Source organism: Homo sapiens, chromosome 18 (genome assembly GCF_000001405.40).
Source record: "Homo sapiens chromosome 18, GRCh38.p14 Primary Assembly".
Lineage (NCBI taxonomy): Eukaryota > Metazoa > Chordata > Mammalia > Primates > Hominidae > Homo > Homo sapiens.
The window spans coordinates 3,395,318-3,419,689 of NC_000018.10; the positions used below are offsets into that span (position 1 = coordinate 3,395,318).

The 24,372-nt window shown below is 42.5% G+C and overlaps 1 protein-coding gene and 2 pseudogenes across 2 annotated transcripts in view; 2 read left to right on the plus strand and 1 right to left on the minus strand.

Annotated features, from left to right (window-relative positions):
• RPL21P127 (ribosomal protein L21 pseudogene 127) lies at window positions 10,993-11,541 on the minus strand (annotated as a pseudogene).
• Window positions 16,692-24,372, plus strand: part of TGIF1 (TGFB induced factor homeobox 1) — a 47,970-nt gene continuing 40,289 nt past the window's right edge. The window contains exons 1-2 of one of the 2 annotated variants that reach the window (NM_174886.3): window positions 16,692-16,937; window positions 22,826-22,898. The gene's annotated coding sequence lies outside the window, so the exon portion shown is untranslated. Of the gene's footprint in view, window positions 16,938-17,536; window positions 17,733-22,825; window positions 22,899-24,372 lie in introns of those variants that run through there. The other variant, NM_001278686.3, reaches the window with a different exon arrangement.
• On the plus strand, window positions 19,807-20,946 carry BOD1P1 (biorientation of chromosomes in cell division 1 pseudogene 1; annotated as a pseudogene).

The following is a 24,372-nucleotide window of genomic DNA, read 5'->3' on the forward strand; positions in this document are numbered from 1 at the left end:
TCCCTGGCCCTCACCCCACCCATGGAGGCCTGGAGCTGGAGGATCCCAGGGGAGGTGTCTCTCCTCCCATCCCAAGTCATCCAGCCCTTCTCCCTGTACCCAATAAACCCTCAATAAGTATCCTCATTGTCAAACAGAAAAACAAAAACAAAACAAAAAAAAGAAGATGTGAATATTAGTGAAGACCACTGGCCTTCAACACAGATACACCTGAATGCATGATTTCATTAACTTGTTAATATGACTTTATTGGATTTTGTGTCATAGCCAGCAGAGGACTTGCCAAGAGTCATCTCATGCAGATGACAAAGCTAGCCAACATCTGAATGAGATCAATATCAAAAAGTGACAGGTCAGGCTTGGCAGCACGCACCTGCAGTCCCAGCTACTCAGGAAGCTAGATAGGTGGATTGCTTGAGCCCAGGAGTTGGAGTCCAGCCTGGGCAACGTAGTGAGACCTGACTCTATTTTTTTATTTTTATTTTTAATTTTTGGGGGTAAATGTAGGTATATATATTTAATGGAGTACATGAAATGTTTTGATACAGGCAGGCAAAGACTTCAACTCTTAAAAAAATGACAATCTAAATGTCAAAAAACAGAGTGGTTAAGCAATTAGAGTATATGTTGTGATATTAAATAATCTTCAAGAGTTATATTCTTTTCTGTTTTTCTTTCTTTCCTTTTTTTTTTTTTTTTTTTGGAGACAGAGTTTTACTCTTGTTGCCCAAGCTGGAGTGCAATGGTGCCATCTGGGTTCACCACAACCTCCGCCTCCCAGGTTCAAGCAATTCTTCTGCCTCAGCCTCCCGAGTAGCTGGGATTACAGGCATGCGCTACCACGCCCAGCTAATTTTGTATTTTTAGTAGAGATGGGGTTTTTCCATGTTAGTCAGGCTGGTCTCAAACTCCCGACCTCAGGTGATCCGCCCTCCTCGGCCTCCCAAAGTGCTGGGATTACAGGCGTGAGCCACCACGCCCAGCCAAGAGTTATATTTTCAAAAGATTTTGATTACATGGAGAAATTCCCGAAATATATACTAAGTGAAAAAAAAAAGAAAAAAGAAAAGCACAGTAAAATTCTAAATGCATCATATGTAAATGAACATAATGTGCATTTTTAATGATTAGAAGGTAATATGAAGTTAAAAAGCGGATAAAGGTCAGGGCACAGTGGCTCACACGTGTAATCCCAACACTGTGGGAAGCCAAGGCAGGAGGATGGCTTGAGCCCAGAAGTTCGAGACCAGCCTGGGCAACATGGCGAAACCTCATGTCTATCAAATAATACAAAATTAGCTGGGTGTGTGGCACGTGTCTATAGTCCCAGCTGCTCAGGAGGCTGAGGTAGGAGGATGGCTAGAGCCTGGGAGGTTGAGGCTGCAGTAAGCCAAGATTGTGCCACTGCACTCCAGCCTGGGTAACAGGGCGAGACCTTATCTAAAAAGAAAAAAGGAAAAAGGGAAATCGAGATAATCAAAAGAATTCCAGAAACAGGAAAGAAAGGCAAGAAAACATAGGCTTCTTGGCATCGGTGTCAAGAACCAGAGGTAGAGAGATCCCAGAGCAGACAGACACATGATAGATTTTTATATTTTGGTAAAAATATTTGGTAGCAGAGTTAGCTGCCTCTGTTGGGTTTATGATTTTTAAGCTTACTAAGTATGTTGGCATAGGGAAGGTAATGCTTTCCCAAGTATCTCTGATTTTTGGAGAACTTTCCTCTCTCGGCTGGAATGCTAGGCTGATCGTCTGGCTTACAAAGTAGCCCCCTGTTTAGACAAAGTGAAATGTCGATCTCAGTTACCTCGTTCACTTCCAAGTTCACCATGGAAGCTCTGAAACTTCAGAGCAGAGAAAGCAAACCCTAAACTGTGCTCACCTTGCTCTAGCAAAAAGAAACCAAACAGGTTCAACCTGTAACTGCCTATAGACCTTTCCCATTTCCTCACCCCAGAGAGTTTTGAGATCATTCCACAAAGATACCAGCTTTTCATATTTGGGCCTAAATGAAATGCTCAGGTCCCAGGACCTCCTACGCTTATAAATTGGCTCCAAGACACAACACATCTACTGTTTGCTTCTGTCACACCCACATACATTTTGAGGTTGTGGAGGCAGATTTTTGTGGATAAGGAAGGAATACATTCCATAAACACAAACTGGAAAACCATTGATTAGATGGAACAGGGAAGAAAGTCTAGGAAAGAAGGCAGGGCCACAAGCTGGACATGAGTCAACAAAGCAACAGAAACAGGCACACACACAGTGTTTGAGGATGTTCAATGAAAGCATTGTCTGTAAGACAATTCTATTTCTTTCTCTGGCCCTCTCTAGTGAAGACACAAGTCGAGTATTGTTGCAGACAGAACCACAATGATAGCAGAGAGTCGGGAAAACAAACTGTGAGGACAGAGTGAATAAAAACTAAGATGTTTATACAAGTGCAATAGTAATCAATAAATATATGAGTGCTTGCATTTAAAGAAATAGCAAGGTAGTGAGAAGGGAATAATTGTGGGGATTAATTCCCACCATTTGCTGGCAGAAGCATAAGGTCCAATGATCAAATTCAAAGGTTTAAGTCAAGCATTCTGAGCTTAAGGGGAAGGGAAAAGTCTCCCCCAGTCTGGGATAAGCTCTACCTTCAAGCTGTTCGGATAAAATAGCGGCTAACATTTGTTGCATTATGCCATTGTCATGCACCCTCCCAAAGCCTTAGATGTATTAGCTTATTGACTCCTCACAGAAACACTATGAAACAGGTGTGATTGGATGCACATTTGACAAATTATGAGACTGAGATAAATAAAGTTTAAGTAGCTTAGCCAAGGTCTTGCTGCTATTGTCAGGACAAGATTTTTAATCGAGGAACCCAGCTGTTACCCAGGAGGCTGGAGCTCCAGTTTTCTTTCTTTCATATATATATATATATATAATTTTTTTTTTCTTAGACAGGGTCTTGCTCTGTCACCCAGGCTGGACTGCACTGGTGAGATCTTAGCATACTGCAGCCTCCAGCTCCTGGGTTCAAGCAATTCTCATGCTTCAGCCTCCTGAGTAGCTGGGATTACATGTGTGTGCCACCATGCCCAGCTAGTTTTTTCTATTTTTAGTAGAGACGGATTTCACTGTGTTACCCAGGCTGATCCTGAACTCCTGGCCTCAAAGTGATCCACCCACCTCGGCCTCCCAAAGTGCTGGGATCGCGGGCGTAAGCCACCGCGCCCAGTTGGAGCTCCAGTTTTCATACAATGCACACATTTGAAAGCTTGCTATTTGGCCTCCCCTTTTAGTTTATTATTGTGATAGTTAATTTCACATGTCTTAAAGTTACTTAATTGTGCCAGGGGTGCTCAGATTAAATATTGTTCTGGGGGGGCTGGGCATGGTGCCTCACACCTGTAATCCTAGCACTTTAGGAGGCCCAGTTGGGCAGGTCCCCTGAGGTCAGGAGTTCGAGACCAGCCTGGCCAACATGGTGAAACTCTGTCTCTACAAAACACAAAAATTAGCCAGGCATGGTTGTGGGTGCCTGTAATCCCAGCTACTTGGGAGGCTGAGTGAGGCAGGAGAATCGCTTGAACCCAGGAGGCGGAGGTTGTGGTGAGCTGAGATCGCACATTGCACTGCAGCATGGACAACAAGAACAAAATTCCATCTCAAAAAAAAAATAAAACATAAATAAATAAATATTGTTCTGGGTGTGCCTGTGAGGGTGTTTCTGTCTGAGATCAACATCGGGATCAGTGGACTTGGTAAAGTAGATTACTCTCTCCAATGTGGGTTGGCACCATCCAATTCATTTCCAGCCTGAAAAGAACAAAAGGTGGAGGAAGGAAGAATTTGCCCCCTTTTGCTTCCAGCCTGGCTACTTGAGTTAGGGGAGGTCTTCTCCTGCCCTTGGACTGGGATTTACAACGTGGGCTTCCCTGGATCTCAGGCCTTCAGACTAAGACTGGACTTTCCTGGGTCTCCAGCTTACAGATGGCAAGACCTTGGGACTTCTCAGCTTCCTAATCATGTGAGCCAATTTCTTATAATAAATCTCTGTATCCTATCTATATCTATAGCTGCATCTTTATCTGCATCTACCTCCTATTGGTTCTGTTTCTCTGGAGAATCCTGACTAATACAATTATAGTACCCCAATCTGCTCAGGAGTCTGACATAACTTTGGGGAACTGGGCAGAGATATTATGAGTGACTCTGCCTTCAAAAAGTCCCCCTTTCTTCTTTCCAGCTTCTAATCAGCTTCAAGAAACATCCTGGAATCCATAAAAAATACTTTTCACGATGTCTGCTCATCACAAGAACTTCTTAGAATAAACCAAGATTTAGTTCTTGTAACAGTGTATATTTGCACACAGTTGTGTAAGTCCTTACTTTTTTTTAACAATTGTTCTCACTTATTTCTTACAAAACCCCAAAAGCACTTTGAGGCTGGTATTATTCTCCTCCTTCTACAGGTGAGATAACTAAAGTTCTGAGAGCTTAGGTGACTTGTCAAAGGTCACTTAGCCAACACGTAACACAGCCAGCACTAGAATCCAAATTCAATGAGTGGTCTTATGTCATGGAACCTCTGGAGGCCAGAAAAAGTCCCTATTCTTTGGGATCTCTCATGTCACTAATATGGTAATACAGAATCCATAAGAGATCTTAAATAGATATTGTTGAAAGATTTCAGTAACAGAGACTGGGCACAGTGGCTCACGCCTGTAATCCCAGCACTTTGGGAGGCTGAGGCAGGTGTATCAACTGATGTCAGAAGTTTGAGATCAGCCTGGCCAACACGGTGAAACCCCGTCTCTACTAAAAATAGAAAAATTAGCCAGGCATGATGGTGGGTGCCTGTAATCCCCAGCTACTCGGGAGGCTGAGGCAGGAGAATCGCTTGAACCTGGGAGGCTGAGGTTGCAGTGAGTTGAGATCACACCATTGCACTGCAGTCTGGGTGACAAGAGTGAAACTCTGTCTCAAAAAAAAAAAAATTTCAGTAGCAGAAAGAATTTTAAAGTGCTAGTTTAAAACTGGAGTGGTGCCTGTATTCTGAAGTAGAAGCTTGGAAGATATTTTTATTTTGTTCTAGAAGGGAACTTTTCTGAGCCCTTTCAGTTCATCTTTCTTAAGGATAGCTAGCGGTTGAATAATCTGAATGCACATATTTCAGACTGAGATGGTAGGTGTTGTTTAATAATATAATGCTGTCATTAATATAACTTTCAATAATGTAAAGGTACAGAATGTTGTGGTTTGAATGTGCCCCTCAAACTTCACATGTTGGAAATTTAATCCCCCAATTCAAATGCTGATTGGAGATGAGTCCTTTCAGAGGCAATTAGGATTAGAGGAGGTCATCAGGGTGGGGGACCCACAACAGGACTGGTGGCTACATGAGAAGAGGAAGAGAAGCCTCAGGTGACACTCACCCTCTTGCCCTCTCACCATGTGATGCTCTCTTTCATGTTATCATGTAGCAAGAAGGCCCTTAATCAGAGGCTGGTGCAATGCTCTTGGACTTTCCAGCCTCTAGAACTATAAGAAATAAGTTTCTTTTCTTTATAAATTACCAGTCTTAGGTATTCAGTTAAAGCAACAAAAAATGGACTAAGGCAGGGAGTGTCTTTGTCTTGAGCAGAGATTTTCTTTATAATTTCTACAAGATTTTTGCTTCTTATACCTGAAAGTAGTAGAAGTGAGGGAGATGAAAAGGAGGAACTGAGCCTGAACAACAAAGTGGTAGGCTGAGGATGGAAAACAGATGGCCCAAGGGGATTTCAACTGAAGGAGTGTGGCCAACGGGTGGCACTAGCAGTGATAATAGATATCCAGATTTAAGGTTCCCTTTTCTGCAGAACAGTTCCTTTGTGTCCATCTCTACCCATGTAAAGTCTTAAACATGGCAGCCTTGCCTTCCATCCTTTGAAAAATAAGGCCCAGGGCTCTGCACCTAGTGTAGGAGGGGAAGAGGTGACGGAGAAGGGTAGCAGGCTGAAAAATAGTTATGAAACAGCCAGAGGTGAATGGCAGAGAAGCCTTGAGGTGTGGGGAGTATAAGATCTGAGACAAGATAACCAGAATGAAAGTGTGAAGAGGATGGCCAGGCATGGTGACTCACGCCTGTAATCCCAGCATCTTGGGAGGCCAAGGCAGGTGGATCACCTGAGATCAGGAGTTCAAGACCAGCCTGGCCAACATGGCAAAACCCCATCTCTACTAAAAAGACAAAAATTTGCCAGGCGTGTTGGTGGGTGCCTGTAATCCCAGCTACTCTGGAGGCTGAGGCAGGAGAATCACTTGAACCTGGAAGGTGGAGGTTGCACTGAGCTGAGATCATGCTACTGCACTCCAGCCTGGGCAACAGAATGAGACTCTGTCTCAAAAAGAAAAAAAAAAAAAGAAAATGTCAAAAAGAGAAGCAACCCTCACCTACCTTGAAGGAGACTCAGAAACGGCTGTGGAGGAAATTGGACTTGCTGCAGACAAGTAGGGTGGGAGTTTCAGCTGCTTTGTATAGGCTTTAAATAGACGTGTTCCCTTGGCCACATACACACACCCAAGTTCATACATATGCCCACAAGCATGTTGAAAGCTGGAGGACCCGGGGAACATTCAGGTTACTTTTGTTAAATACATGAACTACCATATATCCTGAATCTTAGAAGAGAAATGTATATAACCAGAAAATGATATTACCTTATACTCAGACTGTCTTTGTGGGTGATGGGGGACAGTGATTGATAGTAAGTGAAGGGAAATGAAACCATACAAGTAACAGAACTGCAACTAGAGGGAAAATTATTTATTCAAGCCATATGTAAATATGTGCCTTTTTGAAAGTACAGCTTTGTCACTCCTAATGGTTTTAGACATCTGAGAGGGGCCCTGTGCTATAGCCCAGAGAGATCACTGTTTCGACCCGGGGAATTCAGGTTCTATTGACATTCATTTTTATAAGGAATACAGTAGATATCTGAGTAACAAAAAACAGTCTGTAATTATTTACATACATGAAATAATCCTGTTTGTATATTTGAAATAACTGCTATCTATTAACAGAAAGAAAATATTAGTATACAGTAGGTACATCCAGTCATAATGGGCAGTTTGACATTTCTGGAAGAGCCATCTGCAATAAAACAATAGTATTGTAAATATTTGCAAGACAATAATTAAACTCAGCACTGAGGTGAACTCCACACTGATTTTAGTTATTGTTTTTCTTCAGATTCTACAAAGAGTGAAGTACTCCAAAGAAATCTTTACATTCTAAAAAGATCTAGTTTTTATCATGATGCATTGTTTTAATACTCTAAAACTACTTGTCTGTGAGACTATGCTTTTTAGGAATGAATGTGATTCTGTTACTTCTAATGTGATGACAGTAACTCCTGGGTACATTTTAATCTTTGCAATATTTTAACTCAAAATAAAAACCATCCACTAGTGTGAAATATTTCAATGACATGATTCCAATACAGATTCAAGATGAAAACATCAGGTTTCCTTCAAAAGGAATTTTACTCTCCTTTTAGGAAATTGTGTAGGTATTTATATGAGTTAATTTTGAGAATTTTTAGCTAATCATACATTTATTCATCAGTAAGTGATTGAAATCGAGTCCTTTTAGACAAGGAAACCCAATTAAGATGGTGTGGTGGTTGAACTGGGTCCCCTCAAAAAACATATGTTGAAATCCTAATCTCCAGAACCTCAGAATGTGACCTTATTTGGAAATAGGATCATTGAAGATCTAATTAGTTAACATGAGATCATACTGGAATGGGGAGGCCTCCTAATCCACTATGATTGGTACAGGATGATAACCATGTGAAGACAGACACACACAGGAAGAATGTCATGTGACCATGTGACCACAGAGGTAGTGATTAGAGTTATGCAGCTACAAGCCAAGCACTGCTTGTGACACCAGAAACTAAGAGAAAGGCATGCACAGATTCTCCCTAGAGCTTTTGAGAGAGCATGGCCCTACCAACGCATTAATTTCAGACTTCCAGCCTCCAGAAGTATGAGATGATAAATTCCTGTGTTCTGAAGCCACCCAGCTGTGATATTTTGCTATCACAACCCTGGGGAATAAAAACAGATGGGAACAGATGTACCCACCTGTCTTTGTGTCTATGACATAGTACAAAGGGCATAGGCTTTGGGGTCCAGCAGAAATGGAAATTAACCCCAACCCAGTCAATTCTTTCCTATGTGACTTTACACAGGGTAATTAGGGTAGCCGATTTCCTCAGCAACATGATAGAAATAAGATCTTCATAAGATACAGGCATGGTGGTGCATGCCTGTAATCCCAGCTATTCAGGAGGCTGAGGCAGGAGGATAATTTGAGCCCATGAGTTAGAGACCAACCTGAGCAACATAGCAAGACTCCATCTCAAAAAAAAAAAAAAAAAAAAAAAAGATTGTTGAAGGCATCAATTGGTGATTGGTGAATATATGAAAGTTATGGGACACATAGTTTCTCAAAAAATACTAATTTACAACCTGTATATATGAGCTCATTTAAGTAGTCCGTTAATATTATTTTATGTGGTCAAGGAAATTAAAAGCTTTTTTTTCTTTTCAATAATTAAAAAAAAAATAGTATCTATAAATCTGAACTTCTAGTGACCTGGATGTTCAGTAACATTTTTGTCAGTAATGATAAAAAAATGAATTATTCATAGTTAATGGGAAATAGACAACCATTTTATTTATGTGCTCTACAGTTCTGTTCAGTCAAAGAAACTCTAGTCCCCTGGTTTAAAGAACACTCTGGAAAGGAAGTGTCCCACACAAGAGATGTGGTGGATGAAAACTCCCTATAAAAAGTTTATCCCTTTAATTATATGCTAAAAATATATATTTTTAGAAATAGTAAAATGATAGTCTTTCCAAGAGTACTGTAATGTGAATTATCCAACCTAATGACTCAGTTTAAAAGTCTGAATTATGTATTAGTCTCACTAGAAAGGGATAAAATTTGTCATTCAGTATGGGGGAATGACATATTATTTATGTGATCATCCTTCTGAGATCCCATTAAAATAATAGTAAAGAAATTAGGCTGGGCATGGTGGCTCATGCCTGTAATCCCAGCACTTTGGGAGGCCTAGGCGGGTGGATCACGAGGTCAGGAGATCGAGACCATCCTGGCTAACACGGTGAAACCCTGTCTCTACTAAAAATACAAAATAAAATTAGCTGGGCGTGGTGGTGGGTGCCTGTAGTCCCAGCTACTCGGGAGGCTGAGGCAGGAGAATGGCATGAACCCAGGAGGCGGAGCTTGCAATGAGCCAAGATCGCACCACTGCACTCCAGCCTGGGCAACAGAGCGAGATTCCGTCTCAAAAAAAAAAAAAGAAAAAAGAAATTAAAAGAGGCAGAATCTAAGGGCAAAGGTCAATTAAGAGAAAAGAAAGATCTAATGATGATCACCGATCATCATCAGTGATCTAAATCTTTCAATAAACTTCTAGAAGACAGAGCAGGAAGTGATAACTAGAGAAACACAGTGGAGGTAAAGGAACTCAAAATATGCCACTCAGGCTGGGCACAGTGGCTCACACCTGTAATCCCAGCACTTTGGGAGGCAGAGGCAGGTGGATCACCTGAGGTTGGGAGTTCAAGACCAGCCTGACCAACATGGACAAAACCCCGTCTCTACTAAAAATACAAAATTAGCTGGGCATGGTGGCGCATGCCTGTAATCCCAGCTACTCTGGAGGCTGAGGCAGGAGAATCGCTTGAACCCGGGAGGCAGAGGTTGCAGTGAGCTGAGATCACACCACTGCACTCCAGCCTGGGCGACAGAGTGAGACTCCATCTCAAAAAATATAAATAAATAAATAAATATGCCACTCTGGCAAATAGACTATTTTGAGTTAAGGGTCTTGAAAAAAACAGCAAGAACAAGATCACTCTGACCTTCCTACTGCTTATTAAAAGCAGATGATTAAATTCCTGTGTGACAAATGTTCTCCCTGTACCGGAAGGAAAATATCACTCTTATCATCATCAAGGACAAGAAGTTGAGGCCAAGGAAAATCTGTACCAACAAACCATGTTAGACTAATCCTTATCCTCCCAGCCACTTCTCTGTCCAATGAACCACCCTAGCTCAAGCTCCTTTGCCTTGTCACATTTTCACAATTTACTTTGCGTTGTCTACTTCAGTATCTCTGTGTTTATCTCTAACTGCCTCCTTGAGTCTCCATTCCTTTTTGAAGGCTCCCATGCCATGTAAAACTTGCATTAAATAAATGTGCATGCTTTTCTTCCACTGCTATAGCTTATGTCAATTTAAGTATCAGGCTCAGCCAAAAAACCCTAAAAGGGTAGAGATAAAAATTTTGCTTCCTCTATAAAGGGAATTTCAGCCAGAAGGATGCATGGAGAGACCATATCTGTGAAGGAAGCCAATCTGCCTGCAGGACCCAATGTGCACGGGCTCAGAAAATTCACTTCCCGCATTATCTTTTCTTTGCAAATTAATTGGCAATGTGCCTCAACAATACAAAAGAGTAAAGCAAGGAAAAGACACGAGGATCCAGGAAACAGTGGTTTCAAATGAGGTAAGTAATTAAGGGAAGTCCCTGGGTGATAGCTGTGTAGCAGATCAAGGCAGCAAGCAACAAAGGCCTTAGGAGGAAGTTATCTTGAGGAAAAAAGAGAGTTGAGTATTTTTCAAAATCTTACACTAACTTTGAGATTTTGTAATAATAGAAAGATACCAACAATACACAAATAAAAAGAAAGATAGGAGAACAAGTAGAAAGCCACCTTATTAGGATAATTTGACTGCAAGCAGCAGGAAAACCAAACCCAAAACGCTTAAAAATAAGACATTTACTATCTGACATAACAAGAGCTTCATAGGCAGGGAAGCTTCAGTTGACTGGTTAATTCAGTATCTGATTCTTCAAGTGCATAGGTTCTTTACATTTCTCTTTTGTTTTTTCTTTTTCTTTTTCTTTTGACAGTCCAGAGATCTTTTATCTTTTTAACACCTATGATGCCATGAATTCATGGGGAATAGGTTCCAGCAGCTCAGGCTGCTTCCCATTGGTTCTCACACAGTGTGCTTCTCTGGGTGGAGCAGGCTGGGGCTTCAGTTGAACCCAGGTGCCTTTCTCTTTGGCTTCTTTATTTTTCTGACCATTTTCCTTCACGCGTCTCAGGAAGCTATCTCAGCTCTTAGAGTGCTTAATATGCTCAATACGCACATTAATTCTTTTGGCAAGAATCTTGCCCTTGTTTGTTTATGCAATGCCAACAGCATGCTGGGGAACATTGTAGACTCTTCCAGTTTTGCCAAGGTAACACTTGTGGGGCATTCCTTTTTGGACAGTACCCATTCCCTTGATGTCTACAATGTCACCTTTCTTATAGATTTGCATATACGTGGCCAAAGGAACAACTCCATGTTTTCTAAAAGGCCCAGAGAACATATATCGGGTGCCTCTCCTCTTTCCTTTTGTGTTTGTCATTTTGACAAATTACTGGAAGATGGCGATTCCGGCCAAAAGGCTACATCTTTCTTTCTGCCATCTTCACTCATCCAAAGGCAGGCTCCCCTCACGGTGACAAGATGTACATGCTCTTTTAGGGTTCATATCCAACATGGCAGAATCCCAAGAAAAATACTCTATCTCCCTTAGAGAAAGGAAAACTTTCCAGAAGCCCCTAGTAGGCATTTTCTCCCATCTCATTGGCTAAAATTGTATCCTGTGCACATCTGAACAACTACTGGAAAAGAAAATGGAACCACTGCAGCAGGGATTGTTAATTGCCCCTCAATATCCATCTCCCCCTCCTTCCTTTCTATGATAGAACTTCTCTGAATTGTATCTCCACACGTAATCACCAAGCTAGAAGCAACTTTTCCCATCCTCCCTTGCACCTAGGTGTGGTCATGTTACTACGTTCTGGCCAATAGGATATGAGTGGAAATGATGTGGGCAATTTGTAAATTTTTCTTTAAAAGAAGTTGTGTGCTCTCCACTGGCTCAATTCCTCCATTCTGGCTAATATGAAGATTTGGTGGTAGTAGGTCAGCTTCAAACATGAAGATGAGGGCAGCTCCCAAGGAGATGACAGAGCCATGGGTAGAAGGAGCCTGGGGACCCAGGACATTTTCTTGATGCTCAGCCTCTCTATCCTCTTACACTGTAGGCTAGCTAGGAATTCTATCTGACAGAGAGGTCCACTCTATTTATTTTGGTGACTATTAAAGTAGTGGCAGGGGCCAGGCGTGGGCTCATGCCTGTAATCTCAGCACTTTGGGAGGCTGAAGCAGGCAGATCACTTGAGGTCAGGAGTTTGAGACCAGCCTGGTCAACATGGTGAAACCCCATCTCTACTAAAAATACAAAAATTAGCCAGGTGTGGTGACAGGCGCCTGTAATCCCAGCTCTCAAGAAGCTGAGACATGAGAATCGCTTGAACCTGAGAGATAAAGGTTGCAGTGAGCCAAGATTGTGCCATTGCACTCCATCTTAGGTGACACAGTGAGACTCTGTCTCATAAATAAACAAATAAATAAATAAAGTAGTGGCGGGTGCTGTGGCTTATGTCTGTAATCCCATCAATTTGGGAGGCCAAGGCGGGTGGATCACCTGAGGTCGGGAGTTCGAGACCAGCCTGGCCAACATGGTGAAATCCTGTCTCTACTAAAAATACAAAAATTAGCCAGGTATGGTGGCAGGCACCTGTAATCCCAGCTACTTGGGAGGCTGAGGCATGAGAATTGCTTGAATCCAGGAGGCGGAGGTTGCAGTGAGCCAAGATTGCGCCACTGCACTCCAACCTAGGCAACAGAGTGAAACTCTGTCTCAAAAAACAAAACGAAACAAAACAAAACAACAAAAAAACCCAGAAACTTCCTAAAGTAGCCAAAGCAATATCCCGATTACTGCAGTGGCCATGCTTCCCTTAGACCAATGGTTCTCAAAGTATGATTACCATACTGAGAGCACCAGCATCACCCAGGAACTTGTTGGAAATGTACATTCTTGGGTCTTGCCCCAGACCTACTGAATTGGAATGTCTGTGAATGGATCCCAGCAACCTGTTTTTTGTTTTGTTTGTTTTGTTTGAAACAAAGTGAGACCCTGTCTCAAAATAAATAAATAAAAGAAAAGAAAAAAGAAACTTAAAAAGAGAAGAGATGTAAGAAAATGGGAAGAGATAAAGTCAATAGGCGACATCATGAGAAATGAAGGTGCTAATTTAAAATCATAAATGCAAGGAAAGAGGAATTCAAAATAAGAACATAATTCTATTATTAGAAGGGGCTGGGTAAATGTGCATTAAATCTTCATTTTGCATAAAAAGAAAGTCAATAGATAGTTCCCGAAAATACTATATTAAGGCCAAACAAGGTGGTGCATGCCTCTAATCCCAAGGCTGTGGGAGGTTTGAGGCCTGGAGGCAACATAATGAGACCACCATTTCTACCAAAAAAAAAATTAATGAATTAATTATTTTGAGATGGAGTCTTACTCTGTCGCCCAGGCTGGAGTGTAGTGGCACAGTATCAGCTCACGGCAACCTCCCCCTCCCGGGTTCAAGCAATTCTACTGCCTCAGCCTCCCAGGTAGCTGGGATTACAGGCATGCGTCACCAGGCCTGGCTAATTTTTTTGTATTTTTTTCAGTAGAGATGGGGTTTCACCATGTTGGCCAAGTTGGTCTCGAACTCCTGACCTCAGGTTATCCGCCCACCTCAGCCTCCCAAAGTGCTGGGATTACAGGCGTGAGCCACCGGGCCCAGCCAAAAAAATTATTATTATTTTTTAAATTAACCAGGCGTGATGATGGACGCTTGTAACCTCTCATCAGGCTTAGGTGGGAAGATGGATTGAGCTCAAGAATCTCAAAGTCACAGTGAGCTCTGATTGTGCACTCTAGCCTGCGTGACAGAATAAGATCCTGTCTCTAAAAACAAAACAAAACAAACAAAGCTATAAAATACTGTATCAAGAAACAACTGCCAGGCACGGTGACTCATGCCTGTAATCCCAGCATTCTGGGAGGCCAAAGCAGGTGGATCACTCGAGCTCAGGAGTTTGAGACCAGCCTGGGCAACATGATGAAACCTGATCTCTACAAAAAAATACAAAAATTAGCCGGGCATGGAGGCATGCAGCTGTAGTCCCAGCTACTCAGGAGGCTGAGGTGGGAAGATTGTTTGAGCCAGGGAGGCCGAGGCTGCAGTGAGCCAAGATGGTGCCACTTCACTCCAGCCTGGGTGATAGAGCAAGACCCTGTCTCACAAAAACCAAAACCAAAGCAAAATAATACCTGCGTTAGCATATTGTTTAAGGATATGAGGCAATCACCATAAGAATAAAAACAGAGACGATTCAACTAGTTAAAAAGAATTTTCCCTTTGGGATGGGGACTGTGAGAGGAGAGCTATTGATTTTCATTATAAATCCTTCTGTACTATTTAATTTTTTTTTAACCTAGGGCATATATGCTTATAATGAACCATTGAAAAATTATGCTTTCAGAGGGGCTATACACAAGGTGGGACAGAGTCCTCCCGCTCTGAGAGTCTCTTTGTGAAGGTCTGCTTTGTCCAGGAGGGGGTCACCAGAATGTTTGCAGAGCCTCCGCCAGCCCTGTCTCATGAGGCAGCTTTACAAATGGTCGGATGGGACAGGGTCTCTGACAAAAGGCCCTCTCCTCATTGGCATAATCCTTTAGACAGCTGTACCGGGTGAATGGGAACCGCTCAGAGCAGTCTGTTGGCAGGCTTGCTGCTGTCACCTCTTGTAGAATTTCCTCTCGACCACCCTGCTCTCTCGTTCAGATGTCCAACACACAGCCTTAATGGGTAATGGATGTTTTCACCTGGAGAATCCTCCTCATTAGCCTCTCAGTTCTGACCAGGAGGCTGAATGTTCACAACATGGAAAGTCATAATATTTCAACAATCATTGGCCCCAAAGCACTTGTTCAAACAGTAATAGTAGTTAGTATGTTGTAAGAAGATCAGTTAAACCATGTCTATGTCTTTACATTTAGCTGGTATGTTTCCTCCTACCATACTGTCCTGTTTGTGATTTACTCTGTACCCAAAAGCTGATGTCAGACTCTCTGCTTTCAACACCAAGTAATTATGGGTGGAAATGGGGGAGGTTGAAGTGGTTTGGGAGTGGAGTGACATGTAAGGTAATAGCTTTCAGATCATTTCCGGTGGCGCTTTGGTGTGCTACAAAGATACTTTCATTGAAATGTCCCAGGGATTGGTCCGGACCCTGGATCTTACCTCACTTGAATCAGAGTAGCTCATTTTTTTTTTTTTTTTTTTTTTGAGACAGAGGCTCACTCTGTTGCCCAGGCTGGAGTGCAGTGGCACGATCTCGGCTCCCTGCAACCTCCACCTCCTAGGTTCAAGCAACTCTCATGTGTCAGCCTCCTGAGTAGCTGGGATTACAGGTGTCCGCCACCATGCCCAGCTAATTTTGTTTTTTTTCTGTATTTTTAGTAGAGATGGGGTTTTGCCATGTTGGCCAGTCTGGTCTGGAACTCCTGACCTCAAGTGATCTGCCCACCTCGGCCTCCCAAATTGCTGGGATTACAGGTGTGAGCCTCCGTGCCTGGCCAGCCCACTTAATCTTAAATGCAGTCTTTCACTTCATACAACACACAGGAGATAGGATGCAGCAAGTTAGAAAAATTACTCATACCACCTCCCAGATGTGCAAAGAATTTAGAGTGCATTTTCCCTATGCGTGCTCATTTAGAAGCACATCTGCTCCTCTTCACCTCCCAGGTAGCAGGGGAAAGGCTAGATTTAATCTTGTTACAATATTTCCATTTCTTCTCATTGATACAGGCTTGTTTCAGTGTAAACATTTGGTCCATTTGAAGTTCAACTTCCCACTAGTGCTAATGAAAATCTTTACCTGGTTGAGTAAATGTTTTCAGGTAAAATACTCTATCTCTCAAATTTAGTCTCCTCTTCCTCTTCCTTGACCTGGTAGAAAGGGCAGGACTTACTATATCCTTGTGATGCCTGTAGGATAAAAGGGTTCCTGAGTGGTATGTTGTCTCAGGCCTCCTCTGGTCTCAGAGGCAATGCCCCATGCCTGCCTGATTACTGTTTGCTCTGCTGCTGTTGGGGGGTGAAATTTGCTGCTGGGATCATTCGTGGCTTGGTCAGTGCCCAGTGGGCTGTCTTCAGTAAAGTCACTCCCTCTGAGCCTATGCCACAACCCCCACCAAAACTCTCCCCCGTTGGAGCCACACAAGCTCCTGCTGTCAAGCCCTCTCGCTCTTGCCCTCTGGGGACCCAAAAGGCCCCTGGTCCTCAAGTCAGCCACCTCTGTGTCTTCCTCCATCCAAAAGACCTGCAGGAGCTTCTGAGCCTGGTGACACTTGCTGGGGACCAAGACCATCCTACTCCGCCCCAGCCACGCTGCATGACCTCATCTCAGCCCAAAAACAGACATTGGGAACATCTGACCATCCATCCCGTTCCCCCGCTCTTTTTGGCTACCTGCAGTGACCCCAGCAGCAGGGGCGGGAGTTGCCTGCCCTCTTCCAGCCTGGAAGAGCATCTGTCCTACGCTCCTCCTTCCGGGAGTGACTCCCGCCCGCATCTCGGGGTGGGAAGGGTTCAGGAAACACAGACCAGCTTATCTTAAGGAAGCCTGGTCGGGAATCTTTCAAAAACACATCTGTTACAAGGGGGAAAGACACCTCCAGGACAACAGTGATTTGCCTCAGCGGGGCAAAGGCCAGGCCTGACGGAAGAGCCCAGCCTTCGCCGAGGGCCGCAGGGAGCCAGAGACTCGAGCCTGCGGTTCCAGCCCCGCCGCGGTTCCGGCCCCGCCGCGATCCCGAGGCCTGCGCATGCTCGGTGCTGCGCGGGGCTCCCTCCTTACCGCAGGAGCTCCTCATCGAGAAACCCAGGTAAGTCCTGCCCCTTCTACCAGGTCAAGGAAGAGGAAGAGGAGACTAAATTTGAGAGATAGAGTATTTTACCTGAAAACATTTACTCAACCAGGTAAAGATTTTCATTATTTTCATTAGCACTAGTGGGAAGCTGAACTTCAAATGGACCACATGTTTACACTGAAACAAGCCTGTATCAATGAGAAGAAATGGAAATATTGTAACAAGATTAAATCTAGCCTTTCCCCTGCTACCTGGGAGGTGAAGAGGAGCAGGTGCGCTTCTAAACGAGCACGCATAGGGAAAATGCACTCTAAATTCTTTGCACATCTGGGAGGTGGTATGAGTAATTTTTCTAACTTGCTGCATCCTATCTCCTGTGTGTTGTATGAAGTGAAAGACTGCATTTAAGATTAAGTGGGCCCCCAGGACCTGGCACAGGCTGTGGTTCCTTATATCGAGTGGCATGACTGCATTCCGGCCTTTGCCGTTGACTCATTCTTTGCCCTTGTCAAGTTTCCTAGCCTGAGTCGGTTTTTCCCCTTCTCGTTAGAGCTGATGATAAAACAGACTTACCTAGCCAGGGCAACACAGGGAGACCCTGTCTCTACAAAAAATAAGAAAATAAAATATTAGCCGAGTGTGGCGTCACACGCCTGTAGTCCTATCTACTTGGGAGGCTGAGACAGGAGGATCTCTTGAGCTCAGGAGTTCAAGACTGCAGTGAGCTGTGATGGCGTCACTGCACTCCAGCCTGGGCGACAAAACGAGGCTCTGTCCCCAAACACCAAAAACCTCACAAGGCTCTTCCAGGTATGAGATAATATATTGAATGTCCCTTGGTGAATTCAGAAATGCTGGGGATAAAATATATGTAAATCTCAAATACATCCGGATTATTAATAGTGTAATGTCTACAAAGAAATGCTCATTGTCTCGCTAGCATTCTTTTATTTAATAGAGTAAAAAAGAATGAGGATTTTTAAAAAATTAAATTCACGGAACTGTTTTTATGTTAAAGGATGGGAACATGGCTTATGAATATTTTTATTCTTCTTGGCCCTGCCCTTGTACAATAAAGTTTGCTAACTACCATTATCTCATTTGCCACTCATTAATCCAGAGAGATTTATTTAGAATCATTAAAGTTTCTCACCCCAAAATCAGGTTGAGATTTGATTCGAATTTTATTAAACCTGACATCTTTATAATATTGAAACTTTCAGGAAAATGATAGTTTCCTTTGCTTATTCGAGTTGTTATTTTTCTCTGAGTAGATTTTGGAGTTCTCTTCATAGAGTCTAGTATTCTTTATAAAGATTATTCTTGAGAATTTTATAAGGTTTTTTTTTGGCCTGGACGGTGGCCAACGCCTGTAATCCTAGCACTTTGGGATGCCAAGGCGGGAGGATCACTTGAACTCGGGAGTTCAAGACCAGCGTGGGCAACACAGGGAGACCTCGTCTCTATAATTTTTTCAATTAAAAAAAAATTTTTTTCTGATTACAAATGAGACTTTTCTCTCCTTCATGGTTTTAACTGTTTATAGAAGATATATCGTCAAGGGAATTATTTTTACAAATTCATTCTATGGCTGCCGTAATAAAAATAACAAGAGTGATACAAAAAGTACAGTTGTATCTTAAAGTATTGAGCAGTTGCCAAATGGCAGGCACTATGTCGTGGGTTTTAAATGTATTTTCTCAGCAAATCTTCACAATAATCCTATAAATTAATTATAGTTATTATCCTAATGTGTAGATGAAAAAACAAACCCAGTGAGATGACATAATTTGCCTAAGGTCACAGAGTTCATTACTAAGCACTAATTAATTCTCTTAGGTTTTCTAGATACACAATCGTATCATTTATACAAAATGACAGTTTTGTCTCCTCTTCCCAAGGCTGTGTGTCCAATTTTTGTTCTACACTTTACTGAACTGGTCATAATTATATTACAATGTTAAGTAATTATTCTCACTTAAATACTTCTAAACCCTTTTCCATTCAGTGGATATGAGTATATGATGCTGCAGTCAATGGAAATAATGATCACAATAATCCCTAACACTTACTGTGAACCCAGGCAGTCTGAGTCTAGAATTGATATTCTCATTTACACAACTAATTCAAGAGCTACTGCACCTTATTATAGCATGTTCCAGGCCACTCTAGCATGATCCACATGTTTCAAACCTTCTCCACCACCTCCCTTCAGTTTTCTGGCTTTGTAGCCAGAGTTCATCTCTAAGTCTAGCCCCAGTTGGGTTGGTGATCCTGTTTACCGTGAATCTAATCTTGTACTTTCTTATGACATACTTCTAGTAACGGTCCCTTGGCTCTACCCAGTGAACTTAAAGAGGTGACCCATCTGTGTCCTCTCTAGACCTCAGAACCCCATCCTATTTAAGTCCAGTTTCCTTTTACCAACAGATGAAGTCTCTCTCAACATTCCTTTCAAATATCTTTGAAAACAGAAAATAAGGAATTTCAAGAATTTTTTTTCATCAAAACCCCATAATATTCTATGCCAGCATGGTGGTGCACAGCTGTAGTCCAAGCTACTCTGAGGCTGAGATCAGAGGATCACTTGAACCAGGAGTTCAAGGCCAGCCTGGGAAAAGTAAAGAGACCTCTCCTCCCCATGTCTCTAAAAAATAAAAATATTGAAAGACCCAATGTCCAATGTCAGAAAGATCAAGGAGAAAGTGATACTTTTCTACACTACACTTCTAAATTCTTTCTAAAGGGCAATTTGACAATGCATGTAAAAAATTTTGCATATTCCTTGACTCAGAAATCTTACTTATTGGCCTCCTTCTCCTCCACCCCTGTCACCACCTCTGTCCTGGAGAAGAAGCCATATTTGGTCTCCCTCAATGGCTGAGACAGAGGCAACGCAGGCACCATGATCCCGGCTCTGCCTTCCGGCGACCCGGAGCTCATTGCTCTCATCCTGGAGTGGCTCAAGAGCCAGGCCCGTTTGGCAGCTTCTGTCGATGCTGCCTGGCCCCTGTGGACACCAAGCCAGCTTACCAAAACCAGAGGCAGAAAGCTGAGGGTTCGGTGTCCACACACCTGGATGAGCAGAACTGGAATCTTATGATGCGCAAAAGCCTATTGCGAAATGGTCAGAGGCAGAGTGAGATTCAGTCAGGGACATTGGAAGCTGGAGTAGACAGGGTTATTTCTCAGGCAGAGGATCCAAAATTAAACCACATCCTCAGGCCACCAACGGAAGGAGCAAGTCATGAGTTCCTGGGTGCCCAGAAGACAGCAATGGTGCCAGCACCCCCTTTAGAGCCCGCAGACCAGGACCCTCCAGCTCCAGCCTAGGGCGGTTCTCAGGAACATGCCCAACGCCTTTTGAAAGCTCTATTTAATTATCGGTGAAGAAGTGACTTTGGTTACATAAGAGTGCAACTTCAGAATGAAGATAGGCCAAGGTCTCACTGATTTCAAGATTTCGGCCTTGACTGTGGGCAGTGTCCAAGTTTGAATGGGGGGCAAGTTTGGCAGTGGGGATGTTGACCAATTTGTCCCCTGCATTGTGCTGCCATTTGGTCAGCCTGTCCAAGGATACAACACCCGGTAGACACTACAGAGAGATAAAGAAACACTATAGTAACTTGGGATTGTCCTAAAACAGACTTTTATACTTGAACGTGGAGTCTCTGTGTGGACTTTAGAGTTTGTGCTCTGGAATATACCAAAGCTACAGTTTGAGAGAAAGTAACCAGTCCCAAAGATAATTTCAAAGAACAATAACAATATAAAGGGTGGCTGGGAGTAGGTATTTGATGGTGCTTATTTGATATTGTTTCTCAGAGTTGCAAACTGGAATGTAGAAACCACTAGCATCAGATATCTAGAAAGTTGTTATGACCTTCTTGTACATGAATCTTCTAGCCAGTTTCCTTTCCCTTGTAAGAGGTAACAAAACATGGAACCCTAAAATGTGTGAGGAAGCTTGGACGTTAGGTATAAAGAAAAACATTTGCAGCTGGGCACAGTGGCTCATGCCTGTGATCCCAGCACTTTGGGAGGCCAAGGTAGGTGGATTGCCTGAGGTCAGGAGTTTGAGACCAGCTGGACAACATGATGAAACTCCATCTCAGCTAAAAATACAAAAATCAGCAGGGTGTTATGGCACGCGCCTGTAATCCCAGCTACAGAGGCTGAGGCAGGAGAATCACTTGAACCCAGGAGGCAGAGGTTGCAGTGAGCCGAGATCACGCCACTGCACTCCAGCCTGGGCCACAGAGCAAGATTCTGTCTCAAAAAAACAAAGAAAAGCATTTGCAGGCTCTCTGTCTAGGGCCTCTTCCTGTCCTGCAAGGGCTAGTGAGTCTGGGGTGTGTTTAGTTTATTCTCATGTTTGTAATTTTTAAGAAAAGCGAGATTTATAATAAGGCCGGGCTGGGTGGCTCACACCTGTAATCCCAGCACTTTGGGAGGCCAAGAGGGGGCAGATAACCTGAGGTCAGGAGTTCAAGACCAGCCTGGCCAACATGGTGAATCCCCATCTCTACTAAAAATACAAAAATTAGCCGGGCGTGTTGGCGCACCCCTGTAATCCAACTACTCAGGAGGCTGAGGCAGGAGAATCGCTTGAACCCAGGAAGCGGACGCTACAGTGAGCCAAGATCATCCCATTGCACTCCAGCCTGGGTAACAAAGCAAGACTTTGTATCAAAACAACAACAACAACAAAAAAAAGATTTATAATAAAATCAAATAAAATTTGATACTCTTTTTAAAAAAAGAAATCTCACTCGGAATTTATCATAAGTAAATCATTATGGATAAGCAAAAATATATTTTTATAAAGATGTTTATTTAAATACTATTTATAGTGGTTAAAATTTTGTAGCACTCTAGACGTCCAGCAAGGTTTTATTTGTTTTTTGTTGTTGTTGTTGTTCGTTGTTTGTTTGTTTTGAGATGGAGTCTCATGCTGTGGCCTGGTCTGGAGTGCAGTGGTGCAATCTTAGCTCACTGCAACCTCCACTTCCCAGGTTCAAGCTATTCTCCAGCCTCAGCCTCCCGAGTAGCTGGGACTACAGGCATGAGCCACCGCGTCCGGCTAATTTTTGTATTTTTAGTAGAGATGGGGTTTCACCATGTTGGGCAGGCTGATCTCAAACTCCTGACCTCAGGTCATCCACCTGCCTCAGCCTCCCAAAGTGCTGGGATTACAGGCATGAGCCACCGTGCCTACCCTGTTTGTTAAATAAATTCTACTACATCCAGAGAAATATTTCATTACATGGAAACGTTCATGATACACTGTTAGATTAAAAAAGTATATCACAACTCAACATGTAAAGTATAATCCCATTTGTATTTATATAACTATATCTATTTTTGTCTATATAACTGTTATTGTAAATTTAGCTACCTATTCGTGTATATATCTATCATTGAGATCACACAAAACAAAAATAGATATTTCCAAATATTCATTTCTTAAAAATGGAATTATTAAGAAATATGTTATATTTCTTCTTTCTGTTCACTGTTTTCTGAATTTTCTACAATTGACATATATCACTTTTGGAATAGTAAAACGGTTATTCTGGCCGGGTGCAGTGGCTCATGCCTGTAACCCTAGCACTTTGGGAGACCAAGGTAGGAAGATCCCTTGAGCCCAGGAGTTCAAGACCAGCCTGGGCAACATAGCAAGACCCCATCTCTACAAAAAAAAGTGGGGAGTTATTCTTAACAGCTTTTTGTTAGTTAAGCTAAAAGCAGAGATACAAAAAATATAGGGCTTACATATGATCGAAGTTGGTTTTTTTTTTTCCTCTCCCCAAATTGTCTATCGGTGAAGGGCCCAGTGTTACAATGAAGCTGTACTCCACAAAGTTACTCAGGGGTCCTGATTTTGTGCTGCTGTTATCTAGGTTGGTGTCTTTTCCACGTGGTAGAAGCTGGCTAACCTCCACTTCCACATTCCAGCCCAAGGGAAAGTCCAAGGTAAGTAGATATTTCTTTAAGGGGGATGACCTGGAAGTTGCACACTTCATTTTCACTCACCATTGGCTTGAACCTAGTCATGTGACCACATCAGTCAAGAAGGCAGGCTGCGATCTATAGTCTCCAGCTGTCAGCCATGTACAGTTGTCCCTTGGTATCCATGGGGGATTGGTTCCAGGATGCTACCTCAGAAATTAAAATGTGCAAATGCTCAAGTTCATTATATAAAATGGCATAGTATTTGCATATAACCTGTGCATACCCACCTGCATACTTGTAATCATCTTTAGATTACTTATAATATCTAATACAATGTGAATGCTATATAAATAGTTGTTATACTGTATTATTCAGTACAGATGCAACTATAGTAGGCCTAACTACATTTTCTATCCACAGTTGGTTGAATCTGCACATACAGAACCCATGGAAACCCAGGGCCAACTGTGTGTGTGTGTGTGTATTCAGCTAAAATTTAGGGGGAAAGGATTATTACTAAAGATGAGTAGGAATAGTGAGAGATGGACTCATTGGACTCTTATTTAGATATTAAAAATCTAGGCTGGGCGTGGTGGCTCACGCCTGTAATCCCAGTACTTTGGGACGCCAAGGTGGGCGGATCACCTGAGGTCAGGAGTTTGAGACCAGCCTGGCCAACATGGTGAAAAACCATCTCTACTAAAAATACAACAATTAGATGGGCGTGATGGCAGGTGCCTGTAATCCCATCTACTCAGGAGGCTGAGGCAGGAGAATCTCTTGAACCTGGGAGGCCAAGGTTGCATTGAGCCGAGATCGTGCCATTACACTCCAGCTTGGGTGACAAGAGCAAAACTCCATCTCAAAAAAAATTTAAAAATAAATAAAAATGTACAATAGTTATAATACTGTGATTCTGGCACAGGAATAAATAAAAAGATTAGGACAACCATAAATACACTGGAATTCATATAAGATTAAAGCATATAAGTTAAGATGGAGGAAAATAAACTCAATAATGTTGAGAGAATTGGAAAACCATTTGGAAAAAACAAAGTTAGATTAAATGACAAAATTCATTCCACATAAAAACTTAACTTTCTGTAGGGAAATATAGATGAAAATGGCAACCAGATTATGACCCCTGCTTTAGTTGGTCCCCCATTCGACAGATTTCTGGACCTTATTGAGAATAATTATCTTTTCCTTGACCTTCAGCAACCAGAACTGCAAACCATACACCACATATAGAAGACACCACGCTTGTATTAGGTCAGGAGAATGCTTTTTATTTTTGTGTGTTTGTTGGTTAGTTGGTTGGTTAGTTGGTTTTTTCTATCCTTTCTTTTGAAGCAGTCTTTTTTATGTTGATCTTCTTTTTGTTGATCTTCTTTATTGATAGATAAAATGTACAAAACTAATAATCCACATAATGACTTCTAATTTCCATCACTGGACTACCCTTGGTGTGTATCTGATTCTATATGCTCCATAT